This window comes from Homo sapiens, chromosome 8, assembly GCF_000001405.40.
Source record: "Homo sapiens chromosome 8, GRCh38.p14 Primary Assembly".
In the NCBI taxonomy this organism is placed as follows: Eukaryota; Metazoa; Chordata; class Mammalia; order Primates; family Hominidae; genus Homo; species Homo sapiens.
The window spans coordinates 26,649,074-26,668,049 of NC_000008.11; the positions used below are offsets into that span (position 1 = coordinate 26,649,074).

Below are 18,976 nucleotides of genomic sequence, written 5' to 3' on the forward strand. Positions count from 1 at the left end.
AACTTCACATTCTCATTGACTCTTTCATTTGACCTTCTCAATAAAGGGACTGGTATTATTATCCCAATTTGGGAAAATAAATAAACGGAGGCTTAGAGAGCTTAAGTGACCAGTCTAATGTTACATAGCGATTTTGCGGTTGAGCCAGAATTAGAACCCAAAATTGTTCAGGACTCTTCCCTGCCAGACTGCATATGCAGCCTCTTGGTCAGGCTTAGACGGGGAAAATGCTTCCCCTCTCTTGCAAGGTTGCTTCCCCCAGAGGTGCTATAAATGGCTGGCTGGGCTCGTTATTTAAGACACAAATGACCTAGCTGGGGAACTTGCATTTGGAGTTCTTAACCTAGAAGACGAGACAGTGGGAAGGAGAGAAGATTTGGGAAGACAGATTCTGCCCTCCAGACATTTTCACCCCAACCTACCCTGCTTTTACCTCCAGGTGACCTATGGAAGAAATGTTGACTTTCAAAGCGGTGCTTTTCCATCCCCACCTGTTTTAAAGAGCCAGCACTAAGCATGTGCCTGTTCGTTCATCTTCTGGGAAAATGCAACCAGGAGACTTTCCCTGCATAGTACAGTGTTTCCTACCATGAGGCTAATTAGCTTTAGTTCAGAGCATCTAGCTAACTATTATCGACAGCCCTGTTGCTAAGCCTTTGCTTGGATTTTCCAGGCATCTGGCCCGATGAGTAATTTTAGGGAGCCTGTGTGGATGTAGGTTAAAAATGTCTATGCATGGTGAGTGAGGAAGCCTCCCTGCATCATGGTTTGATGGAGAGTAGGCTCTGAGTATCTGGGAATTGTGATCTGACCCTTGGACTTGTCAATGTTAAGTCACTGAGAGTCATGGGGCTGGTTCTTCCATCTTTTAAAAATGATAGATGGCCCCAGAGGTCTTCTAGGTGCTCATTTATAAGCAACAAGACTCAACGCATGCATTGTGTGAGATCTTGGATGCTGCAGGGCTGGCAAGTGTTAGCAAAGTGCAATAAAGAGCCAGACAGTGAATGAGTGAAGATTTTCTAAATGCCTACTGTGAGCCAAATAGTGAGCTAGATGCTTTTGTTCATTTTATTTCATTTGATTCTCACATGAGTCCTGCAAAGGGGGACCTACTTACCCCTCACAGATGAGGAGGTGGAGGCTCAGGGGTGTGAGGGATGCATCCAAAGTCACATAGCTGGTGAATGGCATACCTGGGGTGTGAACCCAGGGCAGATGTCTCCATGGCCGAGGCTGCGCCCATACTCTACCCAGTAGGGCACAAGAGGAGGTTGTCAGGGCATAAACTGTTAGCTGTGGAGTGATGTGGAAGAGATGGCTCTTGATCCAGGCCTTAAAGGATGACTCACACCCTTTCAAAGGTTGTTTCTGAGATGACCAGGGATGAGGCTTTTTGTATTGTCATCTTCACATACACCTCGGGAGGGTGCAGATGAAGAAACTGAAGCTGAGACAGGATTAAAGCAATCTCCCCAGAGTCACACAACTTCTGGATTTTACCGTATCTGAGATGCCATCGATTTTAAGATATTCCATTAGGTTATGTACCACGATGAAAGAAAACATGCCCAAGACGAGGAGTCTCATAGGAGACTGGGCCACCAAGGGCCAGCGTGTGCTTATTATGGCATCTCTGGGGAGACCATCTGCTGTGCAGACAGGGGTGGCAGAAAATCTCGCAGGCCTCGACCTTGGCATTGGTTGCCAAGAGGGAAAAATGTCTCCCCCAAGAATTGGAACTGGAAGTGGGTGCTTGTCCAGCCTTGTGGTCTGAATGCATGCCGCCTGTGTGGTCCAGAACAATGTCAAGCTGAGAATTTACTGTAAAATGCCCTCAGTGGGGTTGTCCCCCAACCCAGTGGCACAAACAAACCCATATCCCCCTAGAAGAACTTGGATTTAGTCTAGGCTGGCAGTACCCGCGTGGCTCCGGCTGCTATAAGACACATTCTGACTTCAGGGATGAGTGTCTTAGAATTGATGAAAGACAATTTTAAGTCTTGGGTCTCAGTAATCCAAGTGCAGAGTCCTCTTCCCTCCCTGCTGGCGCCTCTCTGCTATGGTTCCTTTGGTAGCTTCTGCATGACTGCTTTGAGACTCAGAGCAATGTACTGACAGCCCTCGTGGTTGTTTTCACCCAACATTGTATGCGGGGCATTGTGCATTTACATGCCTGATGTGAGCTGCTGAGCTGGCCGAATCCGTGTTACCAGCCGCTGCACTAAGCAGAAATGTCATCTTGAACTGCAGGGTGCTAGCACAGCTCTCTGTTCAGAGGCCAGCTCCCTGAGTGCTGATAACCTGGTCTGAACTTTCCCAGAAGCCCAGGGTGCTTTTTATGGTTGGAGCAACCTATTAATCCTCTAGTCCAGACTCAGCCACAGCCATTGGTCCCCGTGAACCAAACAGGCAGGAAGAAGCGGGAGGCATTTGGGATCTGGGAAGTAGCACTGGGTTAGCAGAAGCTGCAGGATGGAATGACTCCTGTGCAATGACTCCTGTGTTCTGTTGCTTCATTACCAACCACAAACTCACATCCATATGGAGACCCCACCTATTTTCCAAGAGGGCACACAGATATGTCTCTGTTTTACCCGGAAAAACTTGAAACCAGAAGGATAGCTACATAGCTACATTGTTCTGGAAATTAACTAGCCCTCAATCATTTTATCGGAGGCATGTCTCTTCAGTGACCACAATCCTTTCATTTAGGGACTTCAGTTTAACCACACCGCAAACAGACTAGAAAACCAGGCTAGCCAGTGGGAAAACCTACTTGTGGATGGCTCATTTCAAGATTAAATTTAGAACTTGGTCAGAGAAGGCCTTTGGAATTCAACCGGAATGGAGCTGGAGATGGTGGGAACACAGTCTCTGTTAATAGGAAGAATCATTTTCTTTATATTTGTGTAGCATTTACAAACATGCACCCTTTTCACACAATTATTCTGTTTAATTATTTTTCTTTCTAATGTGGAGAGGTAGAAAAAGTTATTTCATATTCTAGACAGGGAAATGGAGACACAGCAAGTAAGTGCCTGCTGGGGTGCCCAGTTGGGACAGGATCCCTGTCTCTGAGTCTCTCTTTTGTCTCTGTGGGGTTGGGGCAGTGGGTGCTGCCGGGTGGATTGAGTCCAGCCAGAGTGGCCTGTTCTAGAGTTTACTTTGCCTTCTTCTCAGTCTCTCGAGTACAACATCTTTGAAGGCATGGAGTGCCGCGGCTCCCCACTGGTGGTCATCAGCCAGGGGAAGATTGTCCTGGAGGACGGCACCCTGCATGTCACCGAAGGCTCTGGACGCTACATTCCCCGGAAGCCCTTCCCTGATTTTGTTTACAAGCGTATCAAGGCAAGGAGCAGGGTGAGTAGTTTTGTTCTGATGAATTTTTTGTTAAATCACGAATTAAGTTCAAGGCCACAAACATTTATTAAGCACCTTGAGACAGAATATTAAGATGAATTTAGTGGATTCCAGGGATAAGAGGGAGCCTGAATTTTTTATTCCTGGCATTTAAAATACTGGAGAAGGAGTCAGTCGTGTCCACAGAGAGCCCTAGCAAAGTGAGATCATGGTATATGCTATGATAAGGAGTGTGGAGTAAGGACCCAGAGGAGGGAGCCACTGCTGTAGTTGGGGAGAGTGTCATGGGGAGAGGACATTTTGAGTTGGGCTTTGAAGGTTAAGTAGGAGTTTGTCAAGTCAAAGAAGGGAGATGAGGGAATTTGATAAGAGTATCATGAGCATAGAAAATGTACAGTGTATTCAGGGCATGTGAAGCAGGAAAGAGATGGAGCTATAAGGGAATTAAAAGGAGAGAATGCAATTGGAAAGAAAGTTTGGGGCCAGATCTTGAACATGATACCAGATCCGCCTCACAGCATGCTTAGGGGATTCTTACAGGGTTTAAAGTTGAAGTGTCTTGGGGGAAAAATTGTAAGGTGTGTTAGTTTTTGTAGAGTTAACCAGTTACTGGACCTTGTGGGGAGTTTTGGCCTGGCATGGTGGGAGCTGGCCCCACACAACACCTGTCCACCTGTCTGTAAGGAGAGCCCTCCATCCCTAGATCTCACAGGCCCATCCTCCCTCCAGGAGGGTTTCTAGAGAGGTATCCTCTGTGGCTGTGGCCTGAGCTGGGGGGACTCTTGTGTTTTGCAGCTGGCTGAGCTGAGAGGGGTTCCTCGTGGCCTGTATGACGGACCTGTGTGTGAAGTGTCTGTGACGCCCAAGACAGTCACTCCAGCCTCCTCGGCCAAGACGTCTCCTGCCAAGCAGCAGGCCCCACCTGTCCGGAACCTGCACCAGTCTGGATTCAGTTTGTCTGGTAGGGTTGGGGCTTGGGGAGGGCACAGTTCTGCAGGGCCAGCTCGCTGGTGCTGGCGAGGCTACAGTTGCATTTGGAAAGGACACAGAAATAGAAGTGAATGATATTCCCTTTCTCTCCAACGTGAGAAATACAGTGGACTCAGATCTCTGGAGATGTATTTTCTTTTTCTTTTTTTTGAGGCAGGGTCTCGCTCTGTTACCCAGACTGGAGTGCAATGGCACGACCTTGGCTCACTGCAACCTCCACCTCCTGGTTCAAGTGATTCTCATGTCTCAGCCTCCCAAGTAGCTGGGATTACAGGCATGCACCACCATACCTGGCTAATTTTTGTATTTTTAGTAGAGACGGAGTATCACCATGTTGGCCAGGCTGATAGAACTCCTGACTTCAGGTGATCTGCCCGCCTCGGCCTCCCAAAGTGCTGGGATTACAGGTGTGAGCCACCGGGCCCAGCCTAGCTTGGCCTGGAGATGTATTTTCATAGTTAATGACTGGTTGGGTTTCAGAATCTTGAGATCAGTTTGTGTCACACAATGCCCATACTGTGTTTTACCTAATATATTAAGAAGACATTTGTTCAATTTATTAGGTCCATCATAAGAAAGGACACTGTGGTATTTCAGGACTTCTCTTCTCTCCTACAGTATATTGTAGTTTAGCTTGTGGAGTTTGGAGTTTCAACAGCCTAACTTCAGGGCTCAGCTCTGGCTGTGCTTCAGTCTCCTCACCTGTATAATGGCAATAATAGTAGTTGCTCCCCCGTGAGGTTGTTGTGAGGGTTAAATGGGTTAATATATATGTACAGTGCTTAGAATGGGGCCATTTGAGAACTGTTAGTTGTATTTGCTTGGGTAATTTGTGTGATATCCCCTTGGTGAGAGGAAAGGGTTCAGATTTTTAAGTTTCCTTGCTTGAAACTTCTTTCCCATCTTTCATTTGTCCCATGACTAGAACATTCCACTCTTCCAGCTCCCTGGGCCACAGATTCCTATGGCGTATTAAAGAAATTGTTAAACCAGAGAGAATTTTTTTTCTTGGTGGTTGTATGGGTTTTTAGAAAGTAACCTATGTCCCATATATGGATTACCAGTTTTCAAAACATTTAAAAATAAGGAACTTTACTTTGTTGTAAGTAAAACGTGTATAATCATGTCTGTGTTTTCTGATCTCTCAAAGCTGTTCCAATATAAGGTGCCATCGTTCCTCCTACTTGTGATTATATGTGTAGGATTAGGGGATTAGAATGCCAGAAGAGGGCTATGTCCTCAGAAAAGCCACAGCCAATTTGACTAATCAGAACAGGGGACAGGACAGAGTCTAAGATGTAGTGATATTTTGTATATAGTTTTACTTTCTCCAGTAATAGATCCAACAACCTTTATACAGTGTCTGATTCTTTGGTTACCTTAGGCTCATCTCCTTTTTAAAAAGTTTATTTTTATTTTTAGAGATATAATAGTATCTCACTGTGTCACCCAGTACCCAGGCTAGAGTGCAGTGGTGCAATCACAGCTCACTGCAGCCTCGACCTCCTGGGCTCAAGTGATCCTCCCAGCTCAGCCTCCCCAGTAGCTGGTACTACAGGCTTGCACCATCACGCCTGGCTAATTTTTTAATTTTTTTTTTTTGTAGAGATAGGCTCTCACTGTGTTGCCCAGACTGTTCTCAAACTCCTGGACTCAAGCAATCTTCTCACCTCAGCCTCTCCAAGTGCTGTTAGTAGGATTCCAGGCATGAGCCACCATGCCTGCTCTCCACCTCCCTTCTGTAGTCTAAACTTCAGTGAGGTTTTAAGAGAAGAACAAAGAATGTGAGGCCGGGCAGGGTGGCTCACACCTCTTATCCCAGCACTTTGGGAGGCAGAGGTAGGAGGATTGCTTGAGCCCAGGAGTTTGAGACCAGCGTCAGCAACATAGCGAAACCCCTCTTTACAAAAAATTTAAAAATTAGCTAGGTATGGGGGCCTGTGGCTGTGGTCCCAGCTTCTTGAGGGGGCCGAGTGGGAGGATGGCTTAAGCCCAGGAGATTGAGGCTGTGGTGAGCTATGATGGTGCCATAGCACTTTGGTCTGGAAAACAGAGCAAGACGCTGTCTCCAAAAAAAAAGAATGCGACTAGCACTTTTCCTCCTGAGCTGTGAGATTTCACCTTCAAGCAGGATCTTGTGTGACTGTCCTGGCCCCTCACCCGCTCCTCTCTTCTCCTCTCCCTCCAGGTGCTCAGATTGATGACAACATTCCCCGCCGCACCACCCAGCGTATCGTGGCGCCCCCCGGTGGCCGTGCCAACATCACCAGCCTGGGCTAGAGCTCCTGGGCTGTGCCGTCCACTGGGGACTGGGGATGGGACACCTGAGGACATTCTGAGACTTCTTTCTTCCTTCCTTTTTTTTTTTTTGTTTTTTTTTTTAAGAGCCTGTGATAGTTACTGTGGAGCAGCCAGTTCATGGGGTCCCCCTTGGGGCCCCACACCCCGTCTCTCACCAAGAGTTACTGATTTTGCTCATCCACTTCCCTACACATCTATGGGTATCACACCCAAGACTACCCACCAAGCTCATACAGGGAACCACACCCAACACTTAGACATGCGAACAAGCAGCCCCCAGCGAGGGTCTCCTTCGCCTTCAACCTCCTAGTGTCTGTTAGCATCTTCCTTTTCATGGGGGGAGGGAAGATAAAGTGAATTGCCCAGAGCTGCCTTTTTCTTTTCTTTTTAAAAATTTTAAGAAGTTTTCTTTGTGGGGCTGGGGAGGGGCCGGGGTCAGGGAGAGTCTTTTTTTTTTTTTTTTTTAAATACTAAATTGGAACATTTAATTCCATATTAATACAAGGGGTTTGAACTGGACATCCTAATGATGCAATTACGTCATCACCCAGCTGATTCCGGGTGGTTGGCAAACTCATCGTGTCTGTCCTGAGAGGCTCCACAATGCCCACCCGCATCGCCATTCTGTAGTCTTCAGGGTCAGCTGTTGATAAAGGGGCAGGCTTGCGTTATTGGCCTAGATTTTGCTGCAGATTAAATCCTTTGAGGATTCTCTTCTCTTTTACCATTTTTCTGCGTGCTCTCACTCTCTCTTTCTCTCTCTAGCTTTTTAATTCATGAATATTTTCGTGTCTGTCTCTCTCTCTCTCTGTGTTTCCTCCAGCCCTTGTCTCGGAGACGGTGTTTTCCTCCCTTGCCCCATTATCTTTTCACCTCCCAGGTCTACCATTTCATGGTGGTCGTTGGGTCCGCCTAAAGGATTTGAGCGTTTGCCATTGCAAGCATAGTGCTGTGTCATCCTGGTCCATGTAGGACTGGTGCTAACCACCTGCCATCATGAGGATGTGTGCTAGAGTGTGGGACCCTGGCCAAGTGCAGGAATGGGCCATGCCGTCTCACCCACAGTATCACACGTGGAACCGCAGACAGGGCCCAGAAGCTTTAGAGGTATGAGGCTGCAGAACCGGAGAGATTTTCCTCTGTGCAGTGCTCTCTGGCTAAAGTCACGGTCAAACCTAAACACCGAGCCTCATTAACCCAAGTGAACCAACCAAAGTCACCAGTTCAGAAGTGCTAAGCTAATAGGAGTCTGACCCGAGGGCCTGCTGCTTCCTGGTTAAGTATCTTTTGAGATTCTAGAACACATGGGAGCTTTTTATTTTCGGGGAAAAACCGTATTTTTTTCTTGTCCAATTATTTCTAAAGACACACTACATAGAAAGAGGCCCTATAAACTCAAAAAGTCATTGGGAAACTTAAAGTCTATTCTACTTTGCAAGAGGAGAAATGTGTTTTATGAACGATAGATCACATCAGAACTCCTGTGGGGAGGAAACCTTATAAATTAAACACATGGCCCCCTTAGAGACCACAGGTGATGTCTGTCTCCATCCTTCCCTCTCCTTTTCTGTCACCTTTCCCCCTAGCTGGCTCCTTTGGACCTACCCCTGTCCTTGCTGACTTGTGTTGCATTGTATTCCAAACGTGTTTACAGGTTCTCTTAAGCAATGTTGTATTTGCAGGCTTTTCTGAATACCAAATCTGCTTTTTGTAAAGCGTAAAAACATCACAAAGTAGGTCATTCCATCACCACCCTTGTCTCTCTACACATTTTGCCTTTGGGGATCTGGTTGGGGTTTTGGGTTTTTTGTTGTTGTTGTTTATTTGTTATTTTAAAGGTAAATTGCACTTTTAAAAAAATAATTGGTTGACTTAATATATTTGCTTTTTTTCTCACCTGCACTTAGAGGAAATTTGAACAAGTTGGAAAAAAACAATTTTTGTTTCAATTCTAAGAAACACTTGCAGCTCTAGTATTCACTTGAGTCTTCCTGTTTTTCCTGTACCGGGTCATGGTAATTTTTGGTTGTTTTGGTTGTTTTCTTAAAAAACAAGTTAAAACCTGACGATTTCTGCAGGCTGTGTAAGCATGTTTACCTGTTGGCTTGCTTTGTGTGTCTGTTAAATGAATGTCATATGTAAATGCTAAAATAAATCGACAGTGTCTCAGAACTGAATAACTGCAGTGACTTGATGCTCTAAAACAGTGTAGGATTTAAGAATAGATGGTTTTTAATCCTGGAAATTGTGATTGTGACCCATGAGTGGAGGAACTTTCAGTTCTAAAGCTGATAAAGTGTGTAGCCAGAAGAGTACTTTTTTTTTTGTAACCACTGTCTTGATGGCAAAATAATTATGGTAAAAAACAAGTCTCGTGTTTATTATTCCTTAAGAACTCTGTGTTATATTACCATGGAACGCCTAATAAAGCAAAATGTGGTTGTTTCAGGGGTGTGTCTGTATTGAGATGTTCGGGAGGCGGCTGCTTGACTTGGGCCTCCAACCAGACTTCCCCTCCACAAGCATTCACGGAGCCCTCGGCTTCAGTTTGGTGAATATACCAATTCAAGAGTTTTCACTCCATGTCACAGGCTGCTACGTCCAGGCCACGGGATTCTAATTCTAAGCAAAGATGCAGCCTGCGGGTGCATGGCAAACCAAGTGTCAGAAATTCACAGACTCTATCCTGGAGAGCCCTCCAGAATCAAGCTGCATACTGAAGCTTGAAACTGGGAATGGGGTGGGACCACATGCTTTCATGTGGGTGACCCCTCTGGGCTCTCTGCTTCCTTCCAGCTTGTTTACCCCGGAAAATCCTCCAGCATGAAAGATAAGAGGCAGGTGTGTTGGCCCTTATCCACACCTCAGTCCGGAAACTTGTGGGAAACCAGGTTATAAAGGCTTGGTCTTCCACTTTCATGCAAGTGTCAAGAATGCACTTTGGCCAGGAGCCCCGCCCACCCCAGCAGTCCAGATGCTTGGTTTCCGTGGTTACCCTGATAACTGGCACTCACATTATTGATTCTGAGAAGACTGAATGAAGAGAGTGTGTGCCTTGGGCCCCCCAGGCCTATCATAGGGTTGATGAAGTCATTATCTTTTTTTCCCTTCCTCCTCCCCTCTTTTTTTTTTGAGACAGGGTTCCACTCTGTTGCCCAGGCTTCAGTGCAGTGGCACGATCTTGGCTCACTGCAGCCTTGACCCCTTGGGCTCAAGCGATCCTCCCACCTCAGCCTCCTGAGTAGCTGGGACTACAAGTTGCACACCATCATGCTCAGCAATTTTTTGTTTGTTTGTTTTGTAGAGACACGGTTTCATCATATTGCCTGGGCTGGTTTTGAACTCCTAGGCTCAAACAGTTCACCCACCTCGGCCTCCCAAAGTGCTGGGATGATAGATGTGAGCCACTGCAGCCAGCCCATTTTTATTTTCTGTCCAGCCCTGTCCAAACAGGATATGAGGTGACTTATACAAACACATACACAGTGCCACAGTTTATAAATAAAGAGTGTTTGGGTAAAGGGAAAATAAGAGCAAGAAAAATAAGATAAGGCCTTGCAGGGGTTAGCGTGTGACACCTGCCACGAGGCTGTAAACTTGTTAGCGAGCTCCGAGTGTCCTGGCAACACGTACACAAAAGGGAAGTATGGCCACTTACAACACTTACAGTGACCAGAAGGTAAAGAAGATAAATGAGTCCTTCATAAGGAATACAGCAAATCCTGGGAACCACAGTGTTGAGCGTCTGGGGCTGGCTCTTACCTGCCTTTCACTGCATGCTGATGGCAGAGCACTGTGAACCAGTCAAATCGAGTCTGTCCACAAGAAAGGGACAAAAAGTCTCACCTTAACATTGATGGGACCTGGGACAAGAGTTAACATGAAGCCTCCAGGCCCACAGCCCATCCTCCTATTCTCATAATGGCTTCATCTCACACCAAGATGGGCCTCATGCCCATACCTGTGGACACTGCAGCCCACGTGTCCAAGTTCCATCCAAGCCCAGCAAACAGCTGCCCCGTGAGGTGTCCACAGCAGCTGTGAGGTCTTCCCTCCAAAGAATAGAGCCAGCACAGAGTCCCTCTTAGGTCCCTTTGAGCAGGGACCCAGGTACCAAAGCTGGCCTGGAAGGGCTCTGGTTGGCAACATCTCACTGACCCTTGGGAACTCCTCACTCTGTGGTGAAAGGCATGCTGGAGGGGGCCCAGAGAGAGGGCTTCTACAGGTAGACCAGCCTCGAACTCCTGGGCTCAAGTGATCCTCCTGCCTCAGCCTCTCAGTCTCCAGAATAGCTAGGACTATGGATGCGTCCACCACCACTCCTGTCAATTTTTTTTCTCTTTGTAGAGCTGGGGGTCTCACTATATTCAGGAGTTCAAGACCAGCCTGGGTCTTGAACTCCTCCTGGCCTCAAGCTGTCCTCCTGCCTCAGCCTCCCACATGTTTTTAATGACTATTATTCCACTGTCTCTTAGAAAGCTCCTATTTAGAAGGGTGTGAGCAAAGGGGACAGGGAGTGTTAGAGAATAAGACTGAGCAGGTAGTCAGGCAAGCCCACAGGAGAAAAATGTGGTCAAATGAGAGCTTTGCAGAAAAGAGTATAATGACCTCAGGAAGCCAACACAAATTTGGAAATAGTGGGGATCTAGTTAAGAAGAAATGAAAAAGCCTATAAAATAGACAAGAGGAGGAGTCAGGAGAAAAATGGCCTAGAGGAGGACGAGACAAGTAAAGGAAAGCAATAATAATCTGAGTGCATTACATTTTTTTTTTTTTTGACGGAGTCTCACTCTGTCACCAGGCTGGAGTGCAGTGGCACGATCTCAGCTCACTGCAACCTCCAACTCCCAGGTTCAAGTGATTCTCCTGCATCAGCCTTCCAAGTAGCTGGGACTACAGGCACGCGCCACCATGCCCAGCTCATTTTTGTATTTTTAGTAAAGACAGGGTTTCACCATGTTGGCCGGGATGGTCTCGATCTCGTGACCTCATGATCCGCCCGCCCGGCCAAAGTGCTGGGATTACAGGCGTGAGCCACTGCGCCCGGCCAAGTTTTATAGATAAGAATTGAGAAAATTGTGTTGATTTGGCAAAAAAATTACAAATGTGTGTCTATACACAAACGTATGTATGTAACTTTTATAAGGATCTCAAAAGAATAAATAAAATAGGCCGGGTGTGGTGGTTGATGCCTGTAATCCCAGCACTTTGGGAGGCCGAGGTGGGTGGATCACCTGAGGTCAGGAGTTCAAGACCAGGCTGACCAACATGGCGAAACCCCGTCTCTGCTAAAAATACAAAATTAGCCGGGTTTGGCGGTGCATGCCTGTAATCCCAGCTACTCGGGAGGCTGAGGCAGGAGAATTGCTTGAACCTGGGAGGTGGAGGTTGCGGTAAGCCAAGATCGTGCCACTTAACTCCAGCCTGGGTGACAGAGCAAGACTCCGTCAAAAAAAAAAAAAAAAAAAAAGAATAAATAAAATAATGTCTGAAAATTCTTTGAGGAGTGACAAAGGGACCTAGACACAAATGCATCATCATTTTACTAAGCCTTGGTATCAGGACAGGGCTTGGGCAGACAAGAAGACAACAGGCAGGTTGTCTAGCAGTAAGTGTCTTGTTGAGGCCATGAGGCGTGGGGCCTCCACTCAGGGCGGGACAGAACCTGAGGGGCCCGTGGGAGAAGCACTGGGGGGTTGACAAAGACTAAACACAAGAGCTTATAAAGTTCTACGGTTCAAACAACTTATTACATTGAGTTTATTCACGTGATTAGCTTTGGCAGCTACACCTCATCCCTGCCAGGGATCACACACAGTCCTCGTCCTAACGAACATCTCTGCACCACACAGGACCATCCAGCCAACCTGGCAAGTGCAACGGGAACAGGGTTGTGATCACAGAGGATGAAGGCGAGGTCTCCCCCAGCTGTGACCTTGCCCAGTACCAGCTTTTTGCAGCTTTATCCTGGGACTCTTGGGACCCCAGGGACCCTGGAAAACCCAGTGTGGACCCCTAAGGAAGAAGTGGGCAGGGAGGGGGGAACTCCCTATTTCGCTGCCTACAGCTCCTTCAGGATCAATGCCTCCTCCTCGAAGTCCAGATGTGCCGTGGCCTTGACACTGAGGCTTCCCGTTACTGGCGGGCGTGTCTCTGGATTTTTCCTGTCTCTCCAAAGCTGTCCATCTAGTCCTCGGTGAGCCTCTCCCCAGCGGCCCCAGGGAAGCGGCCCACTTGGTTCAACTTCTCCGTAGGGCTGAGCTCCCTCTGCTGGAGACACACACCTCTTACCTTTTTTTTTGTTTTGAAACAGGGTCTCTGTCGCCCAGGCTGGAGTGTAGTGGCGTGATCTCAGCTCACTGCAACCTCTGCCTCATGAGTTCAAGCAATTCTTCTGCCTCAGCCTCCCAAGTAGCTGGAACTACAGGTGTGTGCCAACATGCCTGGCTAATTTTTTTTTAATTTTATTTTTAGGAGAGTCGGGGTTTCACCATGTTGGCCAGGCTGGTTTCGAACTCCTGACCTCAAGTGATCCACCCGCCTCAGCCTCCTAAAGTGCTGGGATTACAGGCATGAGCCACTGCACCTGGCCTTGCCTCTCACCTTTTATTATGGATTCCAGCAGTTAGTGAGGAAAGCACCGCATGCTAGTCCAGGACTGCGCCATCTCTTGGTTGCATCCAAGACCCTATCTCTCAGGAGAACAAGGAGGAATTGTGAGAATTCATGCCCAGGCCTAGCTGCCTAGAGGCAGAGAGAAGGGCTCTCAGCCCGATCCCCAACTCTGGCCACTTTTCTCACCCACTCCCTCCCACTGCGCCCACTTTTGACATCCTGCACCACCAGTCTCTTGTCCGTTCGGTTTTCTGGTCGTAAACCTCCACCTAGCCTGTCCTCCGCACCCCACCAGGACCCCATGGCAGGTACTTCAACTCTCTCGCGAGTTCCCTCAGTTTCCTTGAACCCATGTCTTCCCACTGTGAAACCAAGAGGTGAATCTGATGAGGTCCCCCACTGCCAGCCTGCCCTGCTTGATTCGGTCACTTGCATATTGTTACTTTTTTCCCCAGGTAGCTGAAGGCTGCACTGCAGAACACTGGAACTTAACCCTGCTGGCTTCCTTAAGGAAAACATTTATATGTCACCATGGTAATGGCCGCTTAAGTTATTTTTCAGGAATCTGGGGCTGCTCCTGTCCAGTTCAAACCAGCTGAAATCACTTACTGACCCTTCAACTGGGCCTGTGCAAGTGCCCAAGAGGTGGCTTTTTGATGTCAGAAGGACAAAAACTCCATCCTCAGATATGCTAATACCACCGTTTTCTGAACATGTGTTCAGTGAAGTGCCATGAACCCCAACTACACTTGTGCAGAGCACTAATTACTTCATTCCCCCAACTACCAGTCACCTCTGCCTATGCCTTAGACCATCCCACTTTGCTAACCCACACATATCCCTAAGCCTTATTTTGGGGAGGTGAATTTGAGAGCTGTTCTCCCACCTCCTGACTAGGCTGCCTTGTGAATAAATCTTTTCTCCTTTGCCAAACCTGCTGTCACAGTGATTGGTTTACTGCTCAAGGGCAGAACCAACCTGGTCAGTGTCAACTGTACCTGTACAACAACTCCCCCAGCCATAGTAGGTTGCAGGTCCTGCCTGCTCTGTCTTAATCCAGAGCACCAACTCCAAAGGACAGGGACAGCCTGTACAGCGAAGAATCTTCTGACTCTTGCTTGATTGCTCCCTGGTGCTAGACCTGTTGTGCCAGAACATGAGGAATGGGAATTCATGACCCAGCCCCAGGGCCTGGCCTCCCTCCTGGCCATGGCTAAATTCTGTGAGGCCCCAGTGCCACTGGGGCTCTGGAAATCCAGTGATTGCACCTTGTCTTCTTTTCTCAGTTGTCATCTACATATTGTCCCTCTGGGCATCTGTCCTCCTCTGTGCTCCTTCCCCTTGACAAAACCTCCCACTCTCAAACTCTGTATGTTTTGTGATCAATAAATGCACTCGTATTATTCAATAAACTTCCATCTTCTCTGTTCATTCTCTCCCACCTCTTTGCCTTAAAAAACCCTCATCTTTTTTTCTAAGACATAATTCATCCTTAGTTCTCTCAGTGGAGGTTTCTCTGCATCTCACTGTCCACATTCTTCAGGGCAGGGGAGGTTGACATGTTGCTCAAGCCTCCATCCTTCCTTTGTCCTCTGCCATCTGGTTACACCACTCTCACACTCTGCACCCGGCTGTTATCTACTGATGTCGGGGGAGCTGCTGCTCATTCATGGAAGACTTTGGTATCAAACCATGGCATAGGTTTCCTCTCCACCATGTCTCTCATCAATTCATCAATAGAAGTTATTAATACTTCAATACCTATTAAAGGGTGGATCACCCAGTCATTAGCCTTTCAATTTTGGGATGCATTCTTTTTTTTTTTTTTTTTTTTTTTTGTGATGGAGTTTTGCTCTTGTCACCCAGGCTGGAGTGCCGTGGTGCAATTTTGGCTCACTGCAACCTCCGCCTCCCGGGTTCAAGCAATTCTCCTGTCTTAGCCTCCCGAGTTTACAGGGATTACAGGCACAGTAATTACAGGTGAGTTTACAGGGAGTACAGGGCGCCGGGATTACAGGTGCCCGCCACCACACCTGGCTAATTTTTGTAGTTTTTAGTAGAAACGGAGTTTCACTATGTTGGCAAGGCTGGTCCTGAACTCCTGACCTTAGGGAATCCACCTGCCTCGGCCTCCCAAATTGCTGGGATTACAGGCATGAGCCACTGCGCCCAACCTTTTGTTGTGATGCATTCTCTACGCTGTCTCAGCTATCCACTCCCTGTGTTCTATTCCCCGAGATGTTCTATTTGCTGAAATCACACATGCAGGCACCTTGCTCTCTGTCAATCCACCAGTCCTGTTGGGTTTGTTTGTTCAAGCACTTCCACTATGTCTGTGCTTTGGCAGCCCCAGGACCTCTTGTCACTGTCCCCTCTGTGTTCCCCCTGCTCACCAGCTTCCTCCTGTCTTCCCTTTCTGCCCTCTTTGGATTCCGTGGGACATCATTTCATTCACTCTCATACCAAGAGCCCAATCCCTTGACCCTTTGTCCTTTCATTGTCTCTTCTTTGTCAAACTGCAGTCATAGATGAACCCAACCGTTCTCCACTCTAGCTTGGGCGTGAACCACAGAGTTCTGCTTGAGAAAATGGCAGAACTTGGCAGGTTGTTCTCATGACAAAATCATGGTCACTGACTTCAACTTAACACTGTGCCCTGAACACGTCCCAGGAATCCTACTGTGTTTTCTTCATAGGCTGCAGTTCTACTCTTTATATTTTGAATCTCTGTCCCTCTTTTCCTCATGTCTCCCTCGGGAGATGTCCTTGCCTCCCACTTCACGAGGAATATGTAAACCACCAAGCAGAAATGTCTTCAATACCCCTCGACCAGGGATAAAACTATTTGCAGCAACACCCACCCAACCTGTCCTCTCCAATTCCACCTGTTATCCAAGTCAGAGCCTCCCACCTTCTCAGAAAAATTTCTTATCTCTATCTTCAGTCCATTCAGCCCCTGTCTCTGCTGGCTCCTGGCTAATTTTATCAACACATAAGCATCTTTGAAAATCTTTTTTTTTTTTTTTAATCTTTTTTTACAAAAAGCTGTCTCCTGAGTCTGCTTTTTTTTTTTTTTCTTTTTTTTTCCTCTCCTCTTCAGAGCTAGTTTTCATGGCTGAGGTGTTTACATTCACTGGGTCCATTTTTCCACCTCCCTTTTACCACTTAAGCTATTCAAATCCTGAATAACCACAAAATGACCTTCCTGTTACTAAATCCAAAGAACATTTTCCATCTTTATCTTACCTGGCCTTTTAGGGCGCTTGGTACAGTTGACTTCTCGCTTTTTTTTTTTTTTTGATTTTCACATTACTGGTCATACTTTCTTCCTATCTCTCTGATGATTCGTTAGTGTTCTTTGCCAACCCTTTCCTCTCTAGTAAACTTGATATTTGGAGTCCTTTGGGGCTCTGTCCTTTGGCCCTTCTATTTCACTTCACTCTACATCTCTTCCTAAGCAATTTCCTCTACTTTCACAGCTCTTTTCATCTGTGCGAATAACTCCCAAGAGGTCACTAGGTGATAATGACCTCTCTTCCAAGGTCAAACCCACATATCCCCAACTGCTACTCAAACCTCAGTTGTGTGGTTTATGGTCACCCCAAACACATGTGAAATATGTAACTCTTTGTCTTCTTTCCTTCACCAATCTGTTTCAACTTTAGTGTTTCATAAAGTGGATAGCACAAGCCATTCAGTTATTCCAAACCAAGAATCTAGTGGTCATCATCAATCCCTAGCTGTCCTTCACTCATTCTACATAAACTATCTCCAAGGTCCATTCATTCTGCCTTTTCACTAGTTCTCAAGTCTATTATCTTTTCTCTGTCCTTACTATTATTGTTCCTTCTGCTCCTCTGCCATTACTTTCAACTACCATTTTCTAGGTAACTAAAGAATCTCTTAAATTGTTTTATTGCACCCATTTGTTTGTTTTGTTTAATTTTTTTTTTTTTTTGAGACAGAGTCTTTCTCTGTTGCCCAGGCTGGAGTGCAATGGCACAGTCTTGGCTCACTGCAAACTCCACCTCCCGGATTCAAGCCATTCTCCTCCCTCAGCCTCCCAGGTAACTGGAACTACGGGTGCCCACCACCATGCCAGGCTAACTTTTTCTTTTTTTGTATTTTTAGTAGAGATGGGATTTCACTATGCTGGCCAAGCTGGCTTCAAACTCTTGACCTCAAGCGATCTGCTCAGTTCAGCTTCCCAAAGTTCTGGGATTATAGACGTGAGCCACTGCACCTGGCCTGTTTTGTTTAAGTTTTATTGGTTGAGGTATAAAGACAAAACATTGTACAGGGTTAAGGGTACAATACAATGAACTTTCTAGATGTATGGACCCACGTAAACAGTACCCCAATTAAGATATAGAACATTTCCATCACCTAGTAAGTTCCTTGTATGCCTTTCCAGTCAATCTCTGCCACAATAATTCTAGATCTATTCTGGGGTAACCAATTTTCTGATTTCTAGAGCCATAGTTTAGTGTTGTCTGTTCTAGAATTAGCAGTTTATTTTTCACCATGTAAATTCCAGCTTAGGAGGCTCCTCTCCCCTGTGCATCTTTTCTCAAAGTGCTAACCATGACCCTGGCTCCTTCCATTCTCAGAAACCACTGTCCTCAACACATGGCCTTCAGCATTACCAGAAGAGGAAGAGAGAAAGAGATTTTTTTAGCACAGGTTTGGAAATATATTCATCATTTTCGCTTACCTTCCATTGGTCAGAACTCACTACATGATCCACCTACATGCAAATGGCTTGGGAAATATAGGCTTCCTGTGTGCCCAGGAGGACAATGAAATTGCCTGGTTAGCACTGAGCATTGTCTCTATCACAATAGAAGAGGGGTGATTCCCCAAAGGAAAATCAGTGTGAAAGAACTGTCAGAGGCGTTTGAACCAGAGCGACTCCATCTTGAATAGGGGCTGGGTAAAATGAGGCTGAGACCTACTGGGCTGCATTCCCAAGAGTTTAGGCATTCTAAGTCACAGGACGAGACAGGACGTTGGCACAAGGTACAGGTTACAAAGACCTTGTCGATAAAAGGATGTGGTGAAGAAGCTAGCCAAAACCCACCAAAACCAAGAAGGCAACGAAAGTGACCTCTGGTAGTCTTTATTGCTCATTATACGCTAATTATAATGCATTAGCATGCTAGAAGACACTCTCGCCAGTGCCATGACAGTTTACAAATGCCATGGCAACATCAGGAAGTTACCCTCTATGGTCTAAAAGGGGGAGGAACCATCAGTTCTGAGAATTGCCCAACTCTTTCTCTGAAAACTCATGAGTAATCCACCCCTTGTTTAGCATATAATCAAGGAATATAAAATATAAAAATAGCCAACCAGCAGCCCTCGGGGCTTCTCTGCCTATAGAATAGCCATTCTTTAATCCTTTACTTTCTTTCACTTTACTCTGTGGACTCTCTCCGAATTCTTTTTTTGCGAGAGGTCCAAGAACCCTCTTTTGGGGTCTGGATCTGGACCCCTGTCATAACAGAACCACTGATAGAAGGCAACCCAGAGAATAATAAAGAAAATCTTGCACGAGGTGTATTTATAATGAGCTGACTCTGTAAGACTGAGTTACTTCTTAAAATAGACTGAGGCTGAGACGACATTTGTGGGCAGGGTTACGCATCTTTGTATATTTCCACCTCAGCACGCATGGATGCTGGGCATGAAAACACTACTGATGTCA

General features: G+C 46.5%; 1 protein-coding gene across 3 annotated transcripts in view, besides 2 other annotated features; it reads left to right on the forward strand.

Annotated features, from left to right (window-relative positions):
* DPYSL2 (dihydropyrimidinase like 2) overlaps nt 1-9,102 on the forward strand; it is a 144,145-nt gene extending 135,043 nt beyond the window's left edge. For all 3 annotated transcript variants that reach the window (NM_001197293.3, NM_001386.6, NM_001244604.2), the window contains exons 12-14: nt 3,184-3,363; nt 4,159-4,324; nt 6,542-9,102. In NM_001197293.3, coding sequence (NP_001184222.1) covers nt 3,184-3,363; nt 4,159-4,324; nt 6,542-6,633 — 438 coding nt within the window. In that variant the 3' untranslated portion in view covers nt 6,634-9,102. The remainder of the gene's footprint in view (nt 1-3,183; nt 3,364-4,158; nt 4,325-6,541) is intronic.
* Nucleotides 12,046-12,547: an enhancer, noted in NCBI's record as "H3K4me1 hESC enhancer chr8:26518635-26519136 (GRCh37/hg19 assembly coordinates)". NCBI's record gives its function as "activates a minimal SCP1, AML or CMV promoter by ChIP-STARR-seq in primed H9 embryonic stem cells {active_cell/tissue: H9 hESC(primed)}" and the evidence as "EXISTENCE:reporter gene assay evidence [ECO:0000049][PMID:30033119]".
* Nucleotides 12,548-13,047: an enhancer, noted in NCBI's record as "H3K4me1 hESC enhancer chr8:26519137-26519636 (GRCh37/hg19 assembly coordinates)". NCBI's record gives its function as "activates a minimal SCP1, AML or CMV promoter by ChIP-STARR-seq in primed H9 embryonic stem cells {active_cell/tissue: H9 hESC(primed)}" and the evidence as "EXISTENCE:reporter gene assay evidence [ECO:0000049][PMID:30033119]".